This window comes from Homo sapiens, chromosome 2 (genome assembly GCF_000001405.40).
Source record: "Homo sapiens chromosome 2, GRCh38.p14 Primary Assembly".
In the NCBI taxonomy this organism is placed as follows: Eukaryota; Metazoa; Chordata; class Mammalia; order Primates; family Hominidae; genus Homo; species Homo sapiens.
Window position 1 is genome coordinate 135,210,898 of NC_000002.12, and position 20,338 is coordinate 135,231,235.

A 20,338-nucleotide genomic window follows, 5' to 3' on the forward strand; every position below is an offset into this window, starting at 1 on the left:
GTGTGTCTGTAATCTCAGCTACTCAGGAGGCTGAGGCAGGAGAACCGCTTGAACCAGGAAGATGGAGGGTGCAGTGAACTGAGATTGCGCCACTGCACTCCAGCCTGGGTGACAGAGAGAGACTCTGTCTCAAAAAAAAGAAAGAAAGAAAAATAAAATAAGAAATAGCTTATTTTTTTCTGAGTATAGGTGTATGCCTTTTATTTACTTACTTTTGCATTTCCATTGACATATCATTCACAGAGCATAAAATTCACCAATTTAAAGTTTACAATTAAGTGCATTAACAGTATATTCACAAGGCTGTACAACCATCATCACTAATTCCAGAATATTTTCATCACTCCAAAAAGAAACCTGAGGCTGGGTGCGGTGGCTCATGCATGTAATCCCGGCACTTTGAGAGGCCAAGGCGGGTGGATCATTTGAGGTCAGAAGTTCGAGACCAGACTGGCCAACATGGTGAAACCCTGTCTCTACTAAAAATATAAAAATTAGCTGGGCGTGGTGGTGCGCACCTGCAGTCCCAGCTACCTGGGAGGCAGGGGCAGGAGAATCACTTGAATCCGGGAGGCAGAGGTTGCAGTGAGCTGAGATCCCGCCACTGCACTGCAACCTGAGCAACAGATTGAGACCCTGTCTCAAACAAAAACAAAACAAAAAGAAACCCGTACCCACTAGCACTCATTTTTCATTATACCTTTTATTTTTAGAAATAAATAATAGCATAGCATATACACTAATCTTCACCTTGCTCTTTTTACCAAAACATGCTTCTCAGAGATCTTTCCTTATTATCATAGTTTCCCTATTCTTTTTAATGGCTCCATGTTATTCCATTATATGGATAAACCATATATTTAACCAGTCTCTCATAAATGGACATTTAGGTTGTTTTCATTCTTTGCTATCACAAACAATGCTGTAATAGATATCGTTATATATGATGTTTTCTACACATTATGTATCTATAGAATAAATCCCCAGAAGTAGAATTCCTTGGTCAAAGGTCTTAGGTGTTTTAAATGTGGGTAGATTTTGACAAATTTCTTTCCTCTAAGGTTATACCAGTGTATGTATCCACCAGCAATGAATAAGAGTATCTGTTTCTTCTCTTTCACTAGCACAATGTCATTTTTAAGAGTCTCTGCTAATAGTGATAGGCATCTCATCATAGATTTTAAAATTTGCATTCCTATTAAGAGTAAGGGGGAATATCTTTTCACATGTTTGCACTCTACTTGCATGTCTTTCTTAGAGCAAAAAGGAAATTAAGCCATCGTGCTCCAGTCTGGGCAGTAGTCGTAGTTAAAGCACAGTAAATTGTTTTAGAGTTCTTTTACTTGCCCTTTTAGTTCCCAAATTTCCTCCTTCTCTGGCCCCACCTCCAACAATTTCTTCAACCATTTTATTCCCTTGAAAAATGCACTTTGGGAAAGTATTTCTGTGAATTCTAAATGAACTCAAAAGCTTCCTAGCTTTGAGGGGCAATGGGATATTAAGCCTTGCCTGAGGTATTATTCAATGTTTAAAAGCTTAAAAACCTAATTCAGTAACTAAAAGATGCTGAGAAATCTAGTCAGAGATTTAGAAACTAAAAATAACCTTTTGCTTTCCTACAAGAGGTTTAAGAATAAATTTTTGGAAACCACAAGAAACAGACGAACAAATTCCAAAAAACGGAGCTGACAACTTTTCAAACGTAGTTGCAAGTTGCCGATACTTAATTTTCTACTGAGGTTTGCTAGGAAGTTCACCAACTCCCAAAAGGATTATGGTAAATCCCAATTTTAGTAAATAGAGAAGGGAGAATGTTGTCTACTAAACAAATTCCTGGATAGGGACGGGAGTGGAAGATGGCAATTTTTGCAAGAAAAGTGTACGTTGCAAAGTGGCCCACATCAATGAACACAATCTTGGGCTCTGGATTTCTGACCTGCTTTTGAGCTCAGCTGTAACCAGAGATTAAACAATTGGCATCCTAAACATGACAGGGCTCCAAGTGAATTAGGCCTGCCTCTGATAAATGGGACTCAGTAACCAAAACAGTGGCTGGTAATCTTGGCTACCATTCAAATGTAAAAGTGAGACATTCAAAAGCTGACTGCAAGCTCTGAGCTTGGATGGGGCCTGCAAACTGTTGGACATCACTGGCGGATAATCTGGTTGGAGACCTTTATCAATGTTTCTGGGGGAGTGCCCAAAGTCAGTTAACTATAGGTCTTTTTTCAGAACCATTCAGTACTTTTAAGAGAGAAATCCTCTAACGTCCTGCTTAGGAAGTAAAATGTCGCTGCTGTCAATCTGAAAGCTGTGCAAAAAAGGGGGTCCGAGGAGTTTCAGTTTTCAATATAATACCTCACTCTTTATCTCTACTGAGCCTGATGTTTCTAAGTCTGGAGACTCTCTGATTCAGTTTCTCTAGAAAGTAAATTGATAGGACAGTGTCTAACTGATCCTTATACAGACTGCCAGTCAATGCTGTTGTTCAACAGCATATTTCACATTTGCTTTCAGAGATACATGGTTATTCCAAATTACTGAGACTTAACTTGGGTTCTGCAGCAAGAATCAGAATGCTTCCCGATAGTATCTCCCTGCTGCAGGTACAGAGGTTTCATTTCATGATGCTGCTAAGTTGGTTTCCCTGGAGGCCTCTCTCTCTCTGCCTCTCTATAATCAGTCACCAAGTCTCTAGATATACCTCCTTAAGAGCTCTCTTCATTCTCTTTCCTGATTCCCATTGTAATAACTTAATACAGATCCTCATCGTTTTTCTCCAGGTATACTAGAATAGTCTTTTAACTTGTGTAGTAGGCAGAATTTTAAGATACCCTCTAGGATTCCTGTCCCTCCGTTATTTAATCAATCACTAATTTAGATAATGCTATAAAAGGACTTTACAGATATAATTAGATTACTAATCAGCTCACTTTAAGATAGGGAGATTACTGAGTGGGCCCAATGTAATCACTTGAGCCCTTAAAAGCAGAAGACGAAGGCAGAGAGATTCCAAGGAGAAAGATGTAGTGGTCCATGTGCTAGGACCACAGAGAGGCCTCTAGGAGCTGATGGTCCAGCCGACAGCCAGCAAAAAACAGGAACCTCAGTCCTACAACTGCAAGGAACTGAGTTCTGCCAACAATGTTAGTGAGCTTGGAGGTGAATTCCTTTCCAAGCTTATCAACTAGAGCCCAGCCAGCCAACACTTTGATTTCTGCCTTGTAAAATCCAGAGCATTACTAGAAAACTAGTAATAGCCAACTTGGACTTCTTACTTATAGAACTGTGAGATAATAAATGTGTGTTGTTTTAAGCTGCTAAATTTGTGGTAATTTGTTATGGCAGCGATAGAAAAATGTAACTTATCTCCCCACTTTGAGTCTTGCCCTTTTTGATCTAATCTCCCAACTGCTGCTAGAGCTAGCTCTTAAAAATACAAATCTGATTAATCTGCTGCTTGTTAACACAAGTTATATCCTTAATATATTATGTATATATAATTTTATAAATAATATTGTGTCTGACTTTGGTTTTATGAATTGACTTTTGCTTTTAAATCTGATCAGTCACCTTTCTCAGTTGGTACTTTAAGTGGTCATCCATGTCCGATGGAGAAGAAATAGTAGGACATGTCCAGAAATAGCTAGAAATTCAGTTATGAAAAGAATTATGATCATGTGAGAAAGAGAAGGTCAACAAAGACTGGTTACAAAAATGAGAAAGATTGAGAGGACTGGAAGTTTTGGGAAAAATAAAATAGGCATTGTGCTTTTTGATATATGTGTGCGTGTGTGCACTTATGTGTAAGTATGTGTATATATGTATATAAATATGTAACACATATATTTTAAATGTATTTTTATAGAAAATGACACACGCCCATGGGAAAAAAATCAACTGTTACAGAAGAGTTCAGGCTAAGAGTCCCAAACTGGCAACTTATGGATAAATTCAATTAGTCAAAGGACTTTACTGTACTCATACAGCATTAATTTACTGTACTCATACAACATTTTACATTTATTTATTCATTTTGAGACAGGGTCTTGCTTGATCACCCAGGCTGGAGTGCAGTGGCACGATCACAGCTTATCGCAGCCTTGACCTCCTGGGCTCAGGTGATCCTCCTGCCTCAGCCTCCCGAATATTTGGGCCTGTGGGCGTGAGCCACCATACCTGGCTATTTTTTTGGGGTTTTGTGGAGATACAGTCTCGCTATGTTGACCAGTCTCGTCTCAAGCTCTTGACCTCAAGTGATCTTTCCACCTTGGCTTTCCAAAGTGCTAGGATTACAGGTGTGAGCCACCATGGCTAGCCAGTATTTTTTTATTTTATTAATTTAATTTTTGTTTTGTTTTATTTTATTTTATTTCTGAGACAAGGTCTCACTCTGTCTCCCAGGCTGAACTGCAGTGGCACAATCATGGGTCACTGCAGCCTCGACCTCCAGGGGCTCAGGTGATCCTCCCACCTCAGTCTCCAAAGTAGCTGGGACTACAGGCACCACCATGCCTGGCTAATTTATCTGTTTTTTGTAGAGATGAGGTTTTGCCATGTTGCCCAGGCTGGTCTTCAGCTCTGGGCTCAAGCAGTCTGTCCTCCTTGGCCTCCCAAAGTTCTGGAATTACAGGCGTGAGCCACCATGTACCAGTATTTTATTTTTAAATCTGAATTTGAATGACTTCAGATGGGTTCCAAATCTGCCAGTTTGACATAGTCTCAGCCCATATCTCATCCTTTTTTAGTTTTATAACTGACCTCATTCATTCATTTGTGATTCTTGTTTTGTTTTTAGTCAAATGAGTTTGTAATCCTGGCATAAAGTGTAAAGTCCCTACTACCTCCAGAAATCCTCAAGTTTTATGCCCTAGAGCAAGATTTCTCAACAGTGGTAATACAGACATTTTGAAATGGATAATTCTGTTTTGGGGGGTGCAATCCTGTTCACTGTAGGATTCTCAGCAGCATCCTGGGCCTCTACCCACTAGATACCCCCTAGTCACATCCCTTACTTGAGACAATTTAAAATGTCTCCAGACACTACCATCCTACGGGACCAAATTGCTCCAAATTGAAAACCACTGTCCAAGAGAAACCCGTGATAAGAATTTCTAAGGTATCCTTCTAGACAATTTCTATGTCAGTAATAGCAAGTTGTGCAAATAGTGAAGTTTGTGTCTCCATCCCTTTTTTTTTTTTTACAATTTATATTTACCCTTAACAATTTATCACAAGTATTATTCCTTGTTCTTACAAACAAATAAATGTACCATATGCCATATGTTGAAACAGTGGAAAAGATTTTCGCTGTATGGAACTATCATAATTTATTTAATCAACCATGTTCTCGGTCCCTTGCTCCCCTCCAACCCCCTGGATTTTTTTCACCTGTGTGCATGGAAAAAGCTAGAGAAAGGAAACCTCTCTGATAAACTGATGAAATATAAGGATGAAGAGAGATTACAGGTGTATGGAGGCAGCAAGAGCTAAAGGGCTTTCTCTGCCAATGCTGCCATTTGGTTTATTGCTTTGCCATCTGTTTTGTTTTGTTTTGTTTCAGACAGGGTCTTACTCTGTTGCCCAGGCTGGAGCACAGTGGTACAATCTCAGTTCACTGCAGCCTCAACCTCCCAGGCTGAAGCGATCCTCCGGCCTCAGCCTCCCAAGTAGCTAGAACTATAGGAGTGTGCCACCTGGCTAATTTTTTTTTTTTTTTTTTATAGAAACAGGGTCTCCCTGTGTTTCCCAGGCTGATCATTGAACTCCTGGGCTCATGCAATCTACCCGCCTTGGCCTCCCAAAGTGTTGGGATTACAGGCATGAGCCACCGCGCGCAGCCTGCAATCTCTTTCAAAAGCAAGGATTGGGCTACAAAACAGCTGATCACTTTTCCTGATAATCCTTGCTTCATGCTAAGAAAAGAGTTTACAAAGAACAGGGATTTGAGATCACACATGGGGAGACTTGAGTGGGATAAAGATGATTGTGATGACAAGGAAGGAAATCAATGTACAGAGATTAGAAAGGAACCTGTAATGATAAGGACAAAACAGTCACAAATATCTGACGGTCAACCTTTCCTTTTATTTCATTTCCAATCATGGACATGATTATAGTTATCTTCCATTACTTGGGTGGTGATGCATTCAAATAGAACCAGCTCCCTTGCTGCACAGCATCATACTCACGCACAGCAGGGCAAAGCAGATGGGGTCCAGAGGCATGCTCTGATGTTCTAAGAGTAAAATGTATTCCTGCTGCTAATAAGTGTCCCAGGCTTGGCAGGTCATAGGTTGCACCATCCTGTGACTCTGGTCTTTTTGTTGATTGATGGGACTCATGGAGAGTAAGATCTGGACAACCTGATCTCTTTTAGCAGATTTTGTCAAATTCACTAGACATATAATTATCTTGTTATGAAACAATATGGCTGTGATTTTATGCATAATTTTCTCATAACTCATCAGGATTTCATTAGTGGTTCCAAAAGATGCCTCAGACCCCCCTGTAGAAAGAACCATGAAAAGTAATATAATACAAAATTTAAAAAAAGACAACTCATACCTTTTGGTGCAATTTTGTTTGGTTTGTTGCTTTGTGATCTCTTCCAAAGCAAGAATTGGGCTACAGAATAGCTGTCCACTTTTCCTGATTATCCTTTGCTTCATGGCAGTTAGACTACTCCATTCTCGAACAAATCTCAAAATCTGGCAGAAAATGAGATAATAAGAGTTAACAGCTCACAGGCAGATATCTTCCTTTGAATGTGAGCCTATTTACAACATCAGAAAACTGCTATTTTGTTATGTCCCCCAAATAGGCTTTTGAGTTCCATAACCTAAGGCTTTCTTCAATTTGATGCAGTTTTCATATCTTTATTGTAAACTACCTACAGCAGTTCTCAAGAGATATCTCTTTTTTTTCTTTTTGATAGGGTCTTGCTCTGTTGTCCAGGCTGGAGTGCAGTGGCATGATCACGGCTTACTGCAGCCTTGACCTCCTGGGCTCCAGCAGTCCTCCTGCTGCCTTAGTCTCCTGAGTAGCTGGGACTACAGGCACATGCCACCATACCTGGCTAGTTTTTCTATTTTCTGTAGTGACAGGGTCTCACTATGTTGCCCAGGCTCGTCTTAAACTCCTGGGCCAAAGTGATCCTCCTGCCTCAGCCCCCAAAGTGTTGGCATTACAGGTGTGAGCCATCTCACCCAGCCAAGAGATCTTTTTCAAGCCAAAGATTCTCTAAAGGCATGTTTCAGGACATGCAGTGTATGCCCTTAACACACATAGATCAACAGTGATAATATGCTCATTGAGACCAAAAAAGGTCTGGAAGTACATACCCTAGCTGGGGTCAAGGCAAAACTGGGTGACAGAATGATAGTGCAACATCTGAGAATTGCTTCGTAAATGATGCCTACGTTTTCACAGGAAAAAAAACATCAATAAATCTGGGACATTTTTAGTAGGGTTACCAGTCAAGTATACACAACTGGCTATTTTCTGGGACTCTGAGAATCAGGGTTAGATGATTCCAAGTAAATAGCTTACTGCTCCCTTTTCATTTAAAACAGGTATAGTTGACCTACGGGCAATGCTTCATTTCCACTCAAATGGTAAAAAAAAAAAAATCACCATTTTCTTGTAAAAATAGCACACAGCATGCTAGGTTAGTCCCTGCGCATGATGACCCTTCTTGGCAGTGAAGGAAAATCAGCCACAGATCAGTGTTAAGACCTCCCTGGCAGGAACTTGGCCTGAAGCTGCATGCTAGTGCTTCTGATAATGAATCAAGAATCACCCAATAAGGTATTATCTCTGCTCTGGGAATTTGTCATTGTTAGAACTTAACCTTAATAGAAAAAATGTGATTCTAGCAGATACAAATATCACAGTTGCTAATAGTGTGAATGAGAAATTAAATAATGTGAGGATGATTCTATCCACAGAAACAGCAACTGTAGGTGTGATCATTTGCCAAGGAAACAGATTTCACATATATTCTTAGCACTGGGTAATTAATAGGCACCACCTAGAATGATGAAAATGCAACCAGTGATTTGACTCTACAACATGCCACAAAGTGCTTTTTTAAAATTAAACTAAAAATGATCATTAAAATTACTAAAACAAGTTTATTTAAAGTAAATAAAGCCATTTTATTTAAAACTATTCTTACCAGTGAGCGATATTGTTTCAGCTGAAAGCTTGCTGGTAAATCTTCCCAAAGGTCTAATTTTATATCCAGAGGAATGAAATTACAGCTCATCTGTTTTCCATCCTGATGATAGATTAGGAAGACACTAATAATCCATTTTTGTATAGGCACTAGTAACTATTTTAAATGAAAATAATTACATTATGACACAATATGCCTAGTCTCCTAAAAGAAAAACTGAGGTGACACATTCTAGACAAGGGTCCACCAAAATGGCTCCTCTGGAGAAACTGTGAGCCAAGAAGAGGAGGCAGGCTCTCTACCGCACTGGATGCCTCCATTGCCCATGCCTAGCCCAAGGCTATTGCCTTCAGCCTGGAATCCTTTGTTTACTGCTGTGTCATACTCTTTTCTATTGACTAATCTTGGAAAGATGTATCAAAACAATAAAATTTGTACACTGCAAATTAATATAGAAGAATATTACATCCTTGAAGTTAACAGTAGCACAACCATTCCAAATTTGCAAATAAACTTCTTTATACTCACTGACAATACAAGTATCACATCAAAGAATGGTATCAAGGAATAGTCTTAATAATCTTCACCAAATGATATGCCTGTCCATTGTTACAGGAACAAGGAAGTAAAGAGAAGGTAGAAAGATCAATTCTAGAGAAATTACTTAAAAATTGGCTCCCCCAAAGCAATGTCACAGTATCAGTCAATGAGGACTGTCTGCCAATGGTACCACCTGGAGAGTAAGTGGAACTGCATTTAGGTCCCATCAATCGGTGCACAACATCCTGAAATCTTTTTTTTCCCTTTTTTTTTGAGACAAGGTATCACTCTGTCACCCAGGCTGGGGTGCGGCAGCATGATCTCAGCTCACTGCAGCCTCAACGTCCTGGGCCCAGGTGATCCTCCCATCTCAGCCTCCCAAGTAGCTGGAATTACAGGCACGTTCCACCACGCCTGGCTAATTTTTTATATTTTTTGTAGAGACAGGTTTTCAACATGTTGCCCAGGCTGGTCTCAAAATCCTGGGCTCAAGTGATCCTACCACCTTGAACTCCTGGGCTCAAGTGATTCTCCCGCCTCCGCCTCCCAAAGTGCTAGGATTATAGGCATGAGCCACCACGCCCAGCCCCTGAAATCTTAAGGGTAGAAAGTAACCACATACAGCGGTGTAGTAGAGCTATTTCCTTTATAAAGGGGAAGAAGAACATCTCATACGAAAATCTATTATATCAACAATAGTTGAACTCATATTCTCTCAGCCAAAAAAAAAAAAAAGTTACAGCTCCCACAATTGCTTTGGAGAAAAACATACAAAAAGTAGGCACTGATTAAAAATTTTGAGGCCAGGCACAGTGGCTCATGCCTGTACTCCCAGCACTTTGGGAGGCCGAGGCAGGAGGACCACGAGGTCATGAGTTCGAGACGAGCCTGACCAACATGGTGAAACCCCGTCTCTACTAAAAATATAAAAATTAGCTGGGCATGGTGGCGTGCACCTGTAATCCCAGCTACTCCGGAGGCTGAGGCAGGAGAATCGCTTGAACCCGGGAGGCAGAGATTACAGTGAGCCTAGATCCCGCCACTGCACTCCAGCCTGGGTGGCAGAGAGAGACTCCATCTCAAAAAAAAAAAAAAAAAAAAATTGATATGTAATTCTAAACCCTGATATAGACTTGGGATTCTAGCTGAAATGAACAGTTCTAATATGACACAGGATGCTAAATGTCTGTTACTACTCTTCCTTTAAAGGGATATCCTTTTAGGCAGTGAACTAGGAATTTATTTTTTTTTTTTTTTTGAGACAGAGTCACACTCTTTTGCCCAGGCTGGAGTGCAGTGGCACGATCTTGGCTCACTGCAACCTGTACCTCCCGGGTTCAAGCGATTCTCCTGCCTCAGCCTCCCAAGTAGCTGGGATTACTGGTGCCTGCCACCATGCCCAGATAATTTTTGTATTTTTAGTAGAGTCGGGGTTTCACCATATTGGCCAGGCTGGTCACGAATTCCTGACCTCAGGTGATCCGCCTGCCTCGGCCTCCCAGAGTGTTGGGATTACAGGTGTGAGCCACTGTGCCCAGCCTTACTTCAGCTCTTTTAAGGTGAAAAGGAAAGCTTTCATCTCAGCTCTACTCTGGTTGTGAAAAGATATGTCAACAACTCATCTGCTTAGTGTCTTGTGTTTGGAAAATTATTTGGGTGATAACATTTTATGGTAAAGGGACATGTAAGTATTTAGAACAGTCATAAAAATATATTTGAGACCATTAACAGAGATGTCAAGAAGAAGCAGGCTACTAGGCTGGTGGCAGAGCCTGAATACGGGTCAGTGAGGTGGTCGCTGTGGTTTGGTTTGGCAGCAGGTGCATTATACCCTCTACCAGGAGCTTGCAGTTCTCTCCGTCTCCACCCCAACGGGGATAAAACATTGATCAGGTAATCCAAGAGGCAGAGCTTTCATTGTATAGAGTAAAAAAAGATTAAAGAATTTAAGGGCTTCTGGATTTCTGTGGTATGCTCTGCCTGGTGTCTGTCCTTTGGTTTCTCTACCCTCTTGGGACCATTTCTCTGTCCCTCTCATGTGATGGTCTGAGAAAGAGGCATGGCCTAAAGATCCCCCAACATGGGGCATGAGGGTGGCTCAGGCACTTAAACCTGCCTCAAGATGAATAAAGGAGTCATTGGTGCTCCCTGCAGCCTGGTTCACCATGTCAGAGGCTCCACTTGGTAGACCAGGCTCCAAACCTATAAGAGGAGCATTGATTACTGCCTGGCTTGGTTCTTGGTGTCTCTCTCTCAGTTATTGTCCATGCTAGAGGCTGCTTGGGGATTCTGGTATTCAAAATCCTAGCCATCTCCTCCTAAAAGAATATTATTACATGGTACACTATCTATCTATATCTATATTCGGTTTAGTAGAAAACCTGTAACTGAAAGTTTGGTCATCTCCAACATATTATCTTTTAAACATCGATATAATGGACCATGAGTTTTAAAAGTTTCAAATACTATCTTATATACTTATAAAGATTAGAAATTTAAAATTTTAGGCTGGGCGTGGTGGCTCACGTTTGTAATCCCAGCACTTTGGGAGGCTGAGGCAGGCAGATCACGAAGTCAGGAGTTCAAGACCAGGCTAGACAACACAGTGGAACCCTGTCTCTACTAAAAATAGAAAAATTAGCTAGGTGTGGTGGTGGGTGCTGCAATCCCAGCTATTCGGGAGGCTGAGGCAGGAGAATCACTTGAACCTGGGAGGCAGAGGTTGCAGTGAACCGAGATCGCACCACTGCACTCCAGCCTGGGTGACAGAGCTAGACTCAGTCTCAAAAAAAAAAAAAAAGAAATTTAAAATTTTAGACCAAATAAAAGTATTCATAATCTATCCAGGCCATAGATTCTCACATGGTTCCTGTGATCCTTTCAGAAAGTCATAAGTGTTTTCATACTAATAGTAAGATACTGTTTGCCTTTTCCACTCTCATTCTTTCACAAATGTATGGTGACTTTTTCCAGTGGCTACATGAAATGCTATCTCAACAAACTGAACGCAGAGATGGATATGGGAATCCCACTGTTTTCCATTAAGACTTTAGAGAAAATTGCTAAACATTTAAAACAATGACATTCTTCTCACTAAATATTTTTTTGACTTGGAAAATATAATTATTTTAAATAAAAAATGTTATTTTTATATATATATAATGGGTTTGTTTCTCTTAAAATATGCATTTACTCACTTAAAAATAATTGTTGGCCAGGCATAGTGGCTCACGCCTATAATCCTAGCACTTTAGGAGGCTGAGGCGGGCGGACTGTTTGAACCCAGGAGTTTGAGACCAGTCTGGGCAACACAGCAAGACCCTCTCTCTCCAAAAACAAACAAACAAACAAAAAACGGCCAGGTGGGTGGCTCACACCTGTAATCCCCGCACTTCGGGAGGCTGAGGTGGGTGGATCACAAGGTCAAGAGGTCGAGACAAGCTTGGCCAATATGGTGAAACATCATCTCTACTAAAAATACAAAAATTAGCCAGGCATGGTGGTGGGCACCTGTAGTCCCAGCTACCTGGAGGCTGAGGCAGGAGAATCGTTTGAACCCAGGAGGCAGAGGTTGCAGTGAGCCGAGATTGCACCACTGCACTCTAGCCTGGGCAACGGAGCGAGACTGTCCTAAAAAAAACAAAAAATACAAAACAGAAATAGAAAAATGTAATTGTTAATTATTCACATTTAAGTGAATAAATGAAAAAAACATTTTTTTTTTTTTGAGACAGAGTCTCATTTTGTCACCCAGGCTGGAGTGCAGTGGCGCGATCTTGGCTCACTGCAACCTCTGCCTCCCAGGTTCAAGCGATTCTCCTGCCTCAGCCTCCTGAGTAGCTACGATTAAAGGCACTTGCTACCACACCCAGCTAATTTTCATATTTTTAGTAGAGGTGGGGGGTTTCACCACGTTGGCCAGGCTGCTCTCAAACTCCTGACCTCAGGTGATCCACCCACCTTGGCCTCTCCAAGTGCTGGGATTACAGGCATGAGCCACCACACCCAGCCATAAATGAGTATTTCTGAGAGGCTCCATTTTAATTTCAAATATAGTAGACATCAATAGATATAACCCATACAAACAAAAGCTCTTTGGGGTTCTCAATAAATTTTAGGAGTGCAAAGGGGTACTGAATCTAAAAAGTTTGGGCACTACTAAGCTAGCCTATGGCAGGAATCAGCAATCATCTGACAAAAAGCTTCCTAACATTTACTCAACACAAATGGGCAGGTCTAGGCTTCTGTAAGGATGCTGCTGCTCCTGCTGCTGCAAGTGATCATTGCAGGAATTAACATTTATGGAGAGTTCATATAGGCCAGGCACTGTGCTAAGTGCTTTACAGGACTCAGCTTGTTTTATCTTTATAACAAATCCTGTCTGCATTTTATTTTTTATTATTTTAACAATTTTTAATTTTTAAGGGTACACAGTAGGTTTATATATTTATGGGATACATGAGATATTTTGATACTGGCATACAATGTGTAATAATCACATCAGGGTAAATGGGGTATACCACATTTTACAGTTGAGGAAATTGATGCACTGAGCAGTTGAGTAATGTGTCCAAGATTACATACTAACAGATTTGAACTGAAGCAGTCTAGCCCTGAAGTCTATGTTCTTAAAGACGTGTGGTTTTACCTCTCATTGTCTGTAGATTTAACACAGAAATTTGAGAATTAGCTTTGAGGAAAATAACTAGATGCTTATCTCAATGTTAATAAAATTAAGTATCTCCACTGAAAAGTGAAAAAAGGAAGTCTTTTTTATGTTTCAAGTTACAGAATCTGCATGACGCTTACCTTAGTATAGATGTGAATCCGGTCAGTATTCCTACTTGCACAGAACATTAAGGTGTCATACACTGGCAAAGTGTCTGAACTCTTCCACTGTTCTATTAAAGAAGACAAAAGAGAACCTGAAGGCTTATCTACCCTCTATCTAAAATAGCTTATTTTAATCGTGTGTAGGTTAGAACGATGAAATAGCTATATCAAAATATCAATATATTTAACAAAAAGTAATTGTCTAGGCTTGAAATAAAACTACCACGGTAGGCCATTGAAGAGCATATTGGCTTATATGGTAACCAATTGTTTTACATTTTTGCTAATGATCTAACAAGAAACAAACAGATTCAGAATTAGCTGAAAAAATACAAGTTGGTAGGCATAAGGAAGAATTTCCACCAATAAGAGCTGCTATTGGTCTTGAAAAAATTTAGACTAATCTATTCCTTTTGCTAGAGTAGATTTGAGACCGAATGAGCATCATTTTGATTATTAGCAGCAACATCGCTATGTTGAGGGCCACTTAAATGCCTGATTCCCTGTAGCCTGGTGCCTGACATTCACAAAAGAAGATAAGCAGACAAGCTTCTTTTCTGATAATCTCTTCTTTTTTAGCCCTTTCTCAGTCCTACTGTCCAATATATTTTGCAGGAGATACAGGATTATCAACGCAGGTCTAAATAACAATTATAGTTAACATTTAGTGAGCACATACAATGTGCCAGGCACTGTTGTAGGTACATACAGTAACACCTTTTAGAAATAAATAGTGCATTTTACATAGGAAGAAACTGAGGCACGTTAACTTACTTATGGTCATATGGCTAGTAAGAGGATGTAAAACCTGCAAGCTGGCTCCAGAGTCTGTGCTCTTACCTTCTCTCACAGTTCCTCAGTGATCTTTTAAAGTACTTTCCCAGACCTAGAAGTCTATGATTTGTTTGCCATTCTACTTGGCAATGTCATCATACTATTATTTTTCTAATCAAGGCATTGCCCACTTTACAAACTTGATTTATGAATTATTCCCTTATTTTGTAAATTCAAAAACGCACTTTAACATCTCTGAAACTGGCATGTCTTACAGCCAATAACAACAATGGCATTTTACAATCATTGCTGGCCATGTGGCAGTTGTAAAATAGTTGTCTTTGCCTTAGTATGGATGAGCTGAGTCATAGCTGTAATACTATTGTCACTTTTACACTACACATGAGGTATATGCATTGTTGCTACTATATGTATTTACTTTATTACCTTTAAAATGTCTTTAAATTTTTTCACTATGATTTGGTATTGAAATGAAAAGTTATCATGTATACCATAAAACTTGGATACAGACCAGGAAAGCATAAACTTGGTATTAAAGAAGCAAATGTGTATCACTGGAGGAATAACCAAAATATCTTATTTTCTTGTAAAGGAATAATGGAGTGCTTCATGGTACTGAAGGAAGCAAGAGCTCTGCAAATAGAGGAAAGTGTCTTACATTGGTTACTGAGATGTTCAAAAGGGTTGCCTATTACATGCCAAAGAAAGCAACTGAAAGCAGGAGAAATTGCCAAATCCCTCAGAATAAATGAAAGAAATGTCCAAGCAACAGAGGATGATGTGGCCTGGCCTGGGCTATCATTAAGGTATTGTGTCATAGCTTAATTGGCAGTTTTCTTTGAAGAACTATGCATTAATGCTTAAAGATCAGAAGCCATTCTTTGATAAAAATAACTGTAACAACAATTCCAAATCAGTTGATATTAATTCTTGATAGCTATCAGCTATATTAGGGAACATATTTCTCTTTTCAGTGTTGCCATGAAGTGTAAATTAATGGTTTGAGACTATAGATGATGCATCTATGGTCATTCTTCCAAACTCCTGGAATTCCAGAGAGAACAAAACTACAGTTCTAGAGTAGTATGTACCACTCTGGTTCTAAAAGAGCATATGTAGGTAGAATAAGCATTTAACATAGTGTGCCTACTTTGTTTTCTGTTTGTTTTTCATGGAAATCCATGTTAGTGGAAAGATGTGAAGCATACCTCTTATGTGGAATTCTCAGCCCAGTGATCTGAAAAGTCAAAAGAGGGAAGCACGACTAGGTAAGGGGTAAATGCTGGCATTGTCTGGAGTGAATGAGGGCAAAGCAAATTTCACTGGCAGAACAAAACTTCAAAGTGATTTTTAAAAAACATTTGTAAGTACAAGCTAACATGTTTTTATCAAGAGATCAATGTACAACTAACAAGCCAATACTTCCCTGCCATAGATGAAGAGACTCATAGCCCAGGTGATGACAATTGCCAGGTGTTGGTTCCTAGTCTCATATTTAGTTCACTGAGCCATATGCTGTCCCATTACCAGAGTTTCATCAGCACTTGAGAGTTTCTCACAGTGAGATCAAGAAAACTAGAGACACAAAAGAGTATAACCCACCTGAGTCTACACTGTCTACTTAAAAGCTGTTAAAATTAACAGATCTAAACAGATCCATTCCAAGACATGCTTTGGGAAGACCTTGAGGAGTTAGAAGGAAGGCTGAGAGAAGAAGAAAGAAGGATGCCTTGAGCTCAGAAATTCTTAAATGAACATTTCATTTTAAAGCTATGAGTCAGACTCTAAATTATATTAGTGTTTAATAGCAACTAACTTAGAAGAAAAGCTTCAACAGTCTCATCCCAACTATTGGGTTTATCTGAATAAGAATATCAATCTGTATGTTACTATGGTCACTAAATGAGTAACAAGGAAAATAACCCAAAAGTACTCAGTCTCTTGCCAGCTAGCCCATAAACGATAGTGAAATATGACATACAGGCTAGTATTTGCTAACCATCACAGCTATAAATAATGAATGGAATCAACCAAAAAGTAAACAAACCCAAAACACTGTATGGTTGGCTACAAATGCAGTCATGATTCATACAGTCTTGACATTATGTTCCCTAAAAACATTTTCTTTAAAATACTTTTTTAAAAATATGCCAATTAAGTATAACTATTTACAAGAATTTTTGTGTAAAGGATTAATGATATGCTAAGTGTTAGTTAATTATCTGTCAGTCTTACTGTTTTGTCCCAAAGCACCTCCCAAATATCAAAACAACACCCTTACTGTGTGAATGAGCTAGGCTTGGTTGAGGCTGGGCAACAGGCCTGGTGGCAGCACATGTAGCTATTTATCGGTTTTGCTCTATGTGTAATGTCTGAATGCCAACAGACACACTCAGCTCTTCTAGACATCTGGTGTTTAAGTATGTGGTTACAAATGGTTGGTATTTTTAATATAAAAGAGAGTAAAAGGAACCTGGAACAAGGTAGTAATTACTAATCTAATAACAGTATTATGTGTGAAAGTATATGGTTATTACTTGGATGCTAGAAATGGAAACAAGACTTACCATTACCTGGCTGGGATGTAAGTCCGTCTTCTTTCTCAATTTTTGGTGTTTCTTCCTTGCTGTCAGCCAACTGGCCAGGTTCTGACTGTGCAAGGGCTTGTTTTTCACAGTCTGAGATAGTTTGAACCTTTTTGGAGGTGTCTTTCTGAGAATCATCCTTCTCGTTTTTATCCTGGATATGGTTGAGGCTATCTATTTGCATAACTATTAAAATAAAAATTATTACAAAAATGTAATAATTTACATTTAAAAGTAAAGTAAAAAGAATGTAACAGTTAGGTCTTATAAAAAGAAAGTGAATAATGTTTATTCATATGTTCAAAACATTTATCAGGAGCATACTATATACCCAGTACTATTCTAGATGCTGAAGAGACAGCAGGAACAGGACAGAGAAATCCCTGCATTCTAGACTCCATTCTAAATGGCAGAGAAAGACAATAAAATTAACAAATAGGTAAATAGTATATTTTCAGATAAAGAGAACACAACTAAGTTTTGTTTTTTTTTTTTTTTCAGTAAGAAGGTTTTGGAGAGCACTACTATAGCAAAAGTCATGAGGACCAAGCTCTGAGAGGAGTCCCATTTGAGCTGAGAGCTGTTCATGGCTCTAGGAAGCTTGGACTCGGGCCTATATTCTTGGTCTAAATATTCTAAATGTAACTGGAAGCCATTAAAGAGTTTTAGGCAAAGAAATAAAGGATCACTTTGGCTGCTGTGCACTGAAGGATCAGATTAATATGGAGGCTATTGAGGTCTGGGAGAAAGATGGTGGCTTTAGAGTAGGATGGTAGCAATAAAGATAAAGTGGTTGGAATCAAGATTTATTTGGAGGTTACTTGATGGGTTGAGTGTGGGAGGCGAGAAAGAGACCAAAGATACAGCCCAAGTTTTTAGCATGATGTAGTAAAGAACAGGGAGGAGAAGATTTGGGTATCAGATGTGGCAGTGGTAGAAATATAAATCTAATAATTATATTTTTTATATATAGTAATATCACTGTTACTTAGACTATGTATTTCTCTCTAATCAGACTTTCTTATTCACAAAAGGTAGTTTTTATTTTTTTAAGTTGCTTGACAGATTCCTTATTGAATCATGGGTCTAGAAATTTTCATTGTTGCTCTTGGTATTGCAAAGGAAAAATCAGAACTATAAAACCCATATTAAATTATGACTTTTGTTGCTAAATCATTCAACTTATACATTTAATGTGAACTAACATTATTTTATAGTCACAATAGAGCTTATTTTTATTGCCTGTAGCAGTTGGGAATTGCATGCAATCATGCTAATTGTGACAGAGATATTACATGGAATAAGCATGTGATTCCAATTTAGTTCACAGACAACAGGTGCCCACATACAAATATAACCACTCAGAGGGCAGACTTGTCAATTTTGGTGGGAGTACCCAGAAGTGAAAGAGGGAAGACTCAGCTCCTCCCTACATTTTCCTTCAAATCAAAATTAAGACAGAGAGAAGAGCAAGGCAAGAGGAAGGAACTGCAATATCAGAATTTATATCTTAGCTGAGTCTTTGTCAATGCCAATATTTTTTTTTTTTTTTTTTTGAGACGGAGTCTCGCTCTGTTGCCCAGCCTGGAGTGCAGTGGCGCGATCTCGGCTCACTGCAAGCTCCGCCTCCCGGGTTCACGCCATTCTCCTGCCTCAGCCTCCCGAGTAGCTGGGACTACAGGCGCCCGCTACCACGCCCGGCTAATTTTTTGTATTTTTAGTAGAGACGGGGTTTCACCGTGTTAGCCAGGATGGTCTCGATCTCCTGACCTCGTGATCCGCCCGCCTCGGCCTCCCAAAGTGCTGGGATTACAGGCGTGAGCCACCGCGCCCGGCCGCCAATATTTTGAAGAGTTAATGTATGATGCAAAATTAGATGTGTACAATTATTACAACTGATAAAATACAATGTGTACTTCCAGTTTCCAAAACTGTCAACTTGGCATTTTTATTACTATAAAAATGCTCTATAGAATTGGAAACAAGAATACGCATGATCTTTTTCTTACGACAACCACGGGTATTAATAATCATTTCAGAAACTAAACATCAGAAAATGGTATCCCATGCTATAAAAACATACTTGAGGTATATTTATGATTTCTGACTTTAAAATAATATGTTTTAAAAAAGAATAAACTCAAAAAAACCAGACATCAAATTGGTTCACAAATGAAGATTGATCCATAGAGGAGTTTTGATGCTTTGACAAGCAAAAACCATGGCACAATGTATACTGACTAGGCAAAGAAGCTACATTAGATTATTTTGCCATTTAAACATAAAAATAATCCACAATTTCCTTAAAAACAAGTATTAGCTACAGAGGAGAGAAAATAGAAGGTCTATGAGTATAAGGCATATTTGCTACCATAGCAACAGAGCTTCTATTCCTGCTCACTGAATTCATATCCTGCTGACATTAATCAGAAATGTCCATTTGTGCCAAATTAATGCCATATCACAGACGTTTGGGGATATACATTCTTGACAGAACTGAGAGCTTTTCACATTCCATAAGGGATAAATTCAGTCTTCACTATAAGAAGCTCTTATTCCAATTTAAAAGCTAAAGTTGTGCTGAGTCACACTAACCCTGGATAACAGCAGTCTCTAAAAGCACAGGTTATCTGAAGACACCACTAACAGCCCTTACCTCCATGGTCACCTTCTATATACTCACCAGCACTGCCTTGAGGAGTCTCACACATTTCACAATAAGGTAACTCTGAATTATTGATATAGGTGCAGAGACTACATTGCCAGCCCTCTACAGGAAAGGCTGGGGTGGTTAACTGGGCCTTGGCCTCCTGTACACTTTCCACGAGTGGAGTTCGGATTTGCTTGGACTGGGATGGTGTCTCTTCCGACGGACTGCAGTGGTCTTCCGAGGCAGCCAATTTCAATCTTTTCGTTTCAGGTTCAACATCACTTTCATAATCGATGATATCTCTTGCAGCTGTTTTTGTAGGGTCTGATGACACTACAGTATTTTCCTCCCGGAATCTCTTTGATTCGTCACAGGAGGTCATCAACTGTCTTTTTTTAGGTTGTGGTACAAAAAATGATCGAATATCATGCTGTTTTTCTTTTTCGAACTAGGAAAAGCAAACAGTAGTTATCAAAGTAAGAAGCAATCTAATATGTTCTTCTTACATAAAAGAGCTTAACAAAATATTTTAATTAACCATATTGCCTTATCCTTTAAATACCTTTTGGAAATGAATTCATTATGCTCTGACTCTTCATATATACATATATAAATATATATATGTAAAACATATCCATGTACTTCCTGTGTCTAACTTTTTTCTCAGCACTTATTGTGTGCCAAGCATTTAACATATATTAACTCATTTAATCCTCACATCAGCTCTATGAAGTCAATACTAGTATTATTATAACA

General features: G+C 39.2%; 1 protein-coding gene and 1 long non-coding RNA gene across 5 annotated transcripts in view, besides 3 other annotated features; one reads left to right on the plus strand and one right to left on the minus strand.

The window, feature by feature from the left end:
• The window catches only part of ZRANB3 (zinc finger RANBP2-type containing 3), a 334,250-nt gene that overhangs the window by 13,929 nt on the left and 299,983 nt on the right, over positions 1-20,338 (minus strand). For 2 of the 3 annotated variants that reach the window (NM_032143.4, NM_001286569.1), the window contains 5 exons: positions 19,616-20,030; positions 16,915-17,118; positions 13,529-13,620; positions 8,180-8,281; positions 6,568-6,710 (listed from right to left, as the gene is read on the minus strand). In NM_032143.4, coding sequence (NP_115519.2) covers positions 6,568-6,710; positions 8,180-8,281; positions 13,529-13,620; positions 16,915-17,118; positions 19,616-20,030 — 956 coding nt within the window. The remainder of the gene's footprint in view (positions 1-6,567; positions 6,711-8,179; positions 8,282-13,528; positions 13,621-16,914; positions 17,119-19,615; positions 20,031-20,338) is intronic. The other variant, NM_001286568.2, reaches the window with a different exon arrangement.
• Positions 1,807-2,331: an enhancer, noted in NCBI's record as "OCT4-NANOG hESC enhancer chr2:135970274-135970798 (GRCh37/hg19 assembly coordinates)". NCBI's record gives its function as "activates a minimal SCP1, AML or CMV promoter by ChIP-STARR-seq in naive H9 embryonic stem cells {active_cell/tissue: H9 hESC(naive)}" and the evidence as "EXISTENCE:reporter gene assay evidence [ECO:0000049][PMID:30033119]".
• Positions 1,882-2,176: a silencer, noted in NCBI's record as "tiled region #426; HepG2 Repressive non-DNase unmatched - State 16:ElonW". NCBI's record gives its function as "represses a minimal TATA promoter and a strong SV40 promoter by Sharpr-MPRA in HepG2 cells {active_cell/tissue: HepG2}" and the evidence as "EXISTENCE:reporter gene assay evidence [ECO:0000049][PMID:27701403]".
• Positions 12,444-12,608: a silencer, noted in NCBI's record as "fragment chr2:135980911-135981075 (GRCh37/hg19 assembly coordinates)". NCBI's record gives its function as "represses an EF-1alpha promoter that drives an FKBP-Casp9 reporter gene in an ReSE screen in K562 erythroleukemia cells {active_cell/tissue: K562}" and the evidence as "EXISTENCE:reporter gene assay evidence [ECO:0000049][PMID:32094911]".
• Positions 14,819-17,610, plus strand: LOC124906077 (uncharacterized). Of its 2 annotated transcripts, XR_007087244.1 has the most exons (3): positions 14,819-15,153; positions 15,536-15,615; positions 17,434-17,610. It is a non-coding gene; the product is annotated as an uncharacterized LOC124906077 (long non-coding RNA). The 2 variants fall into 2 exon arrangements; XR_007087243.1 differs by having other exon boundaries at positions 15,536-17,610.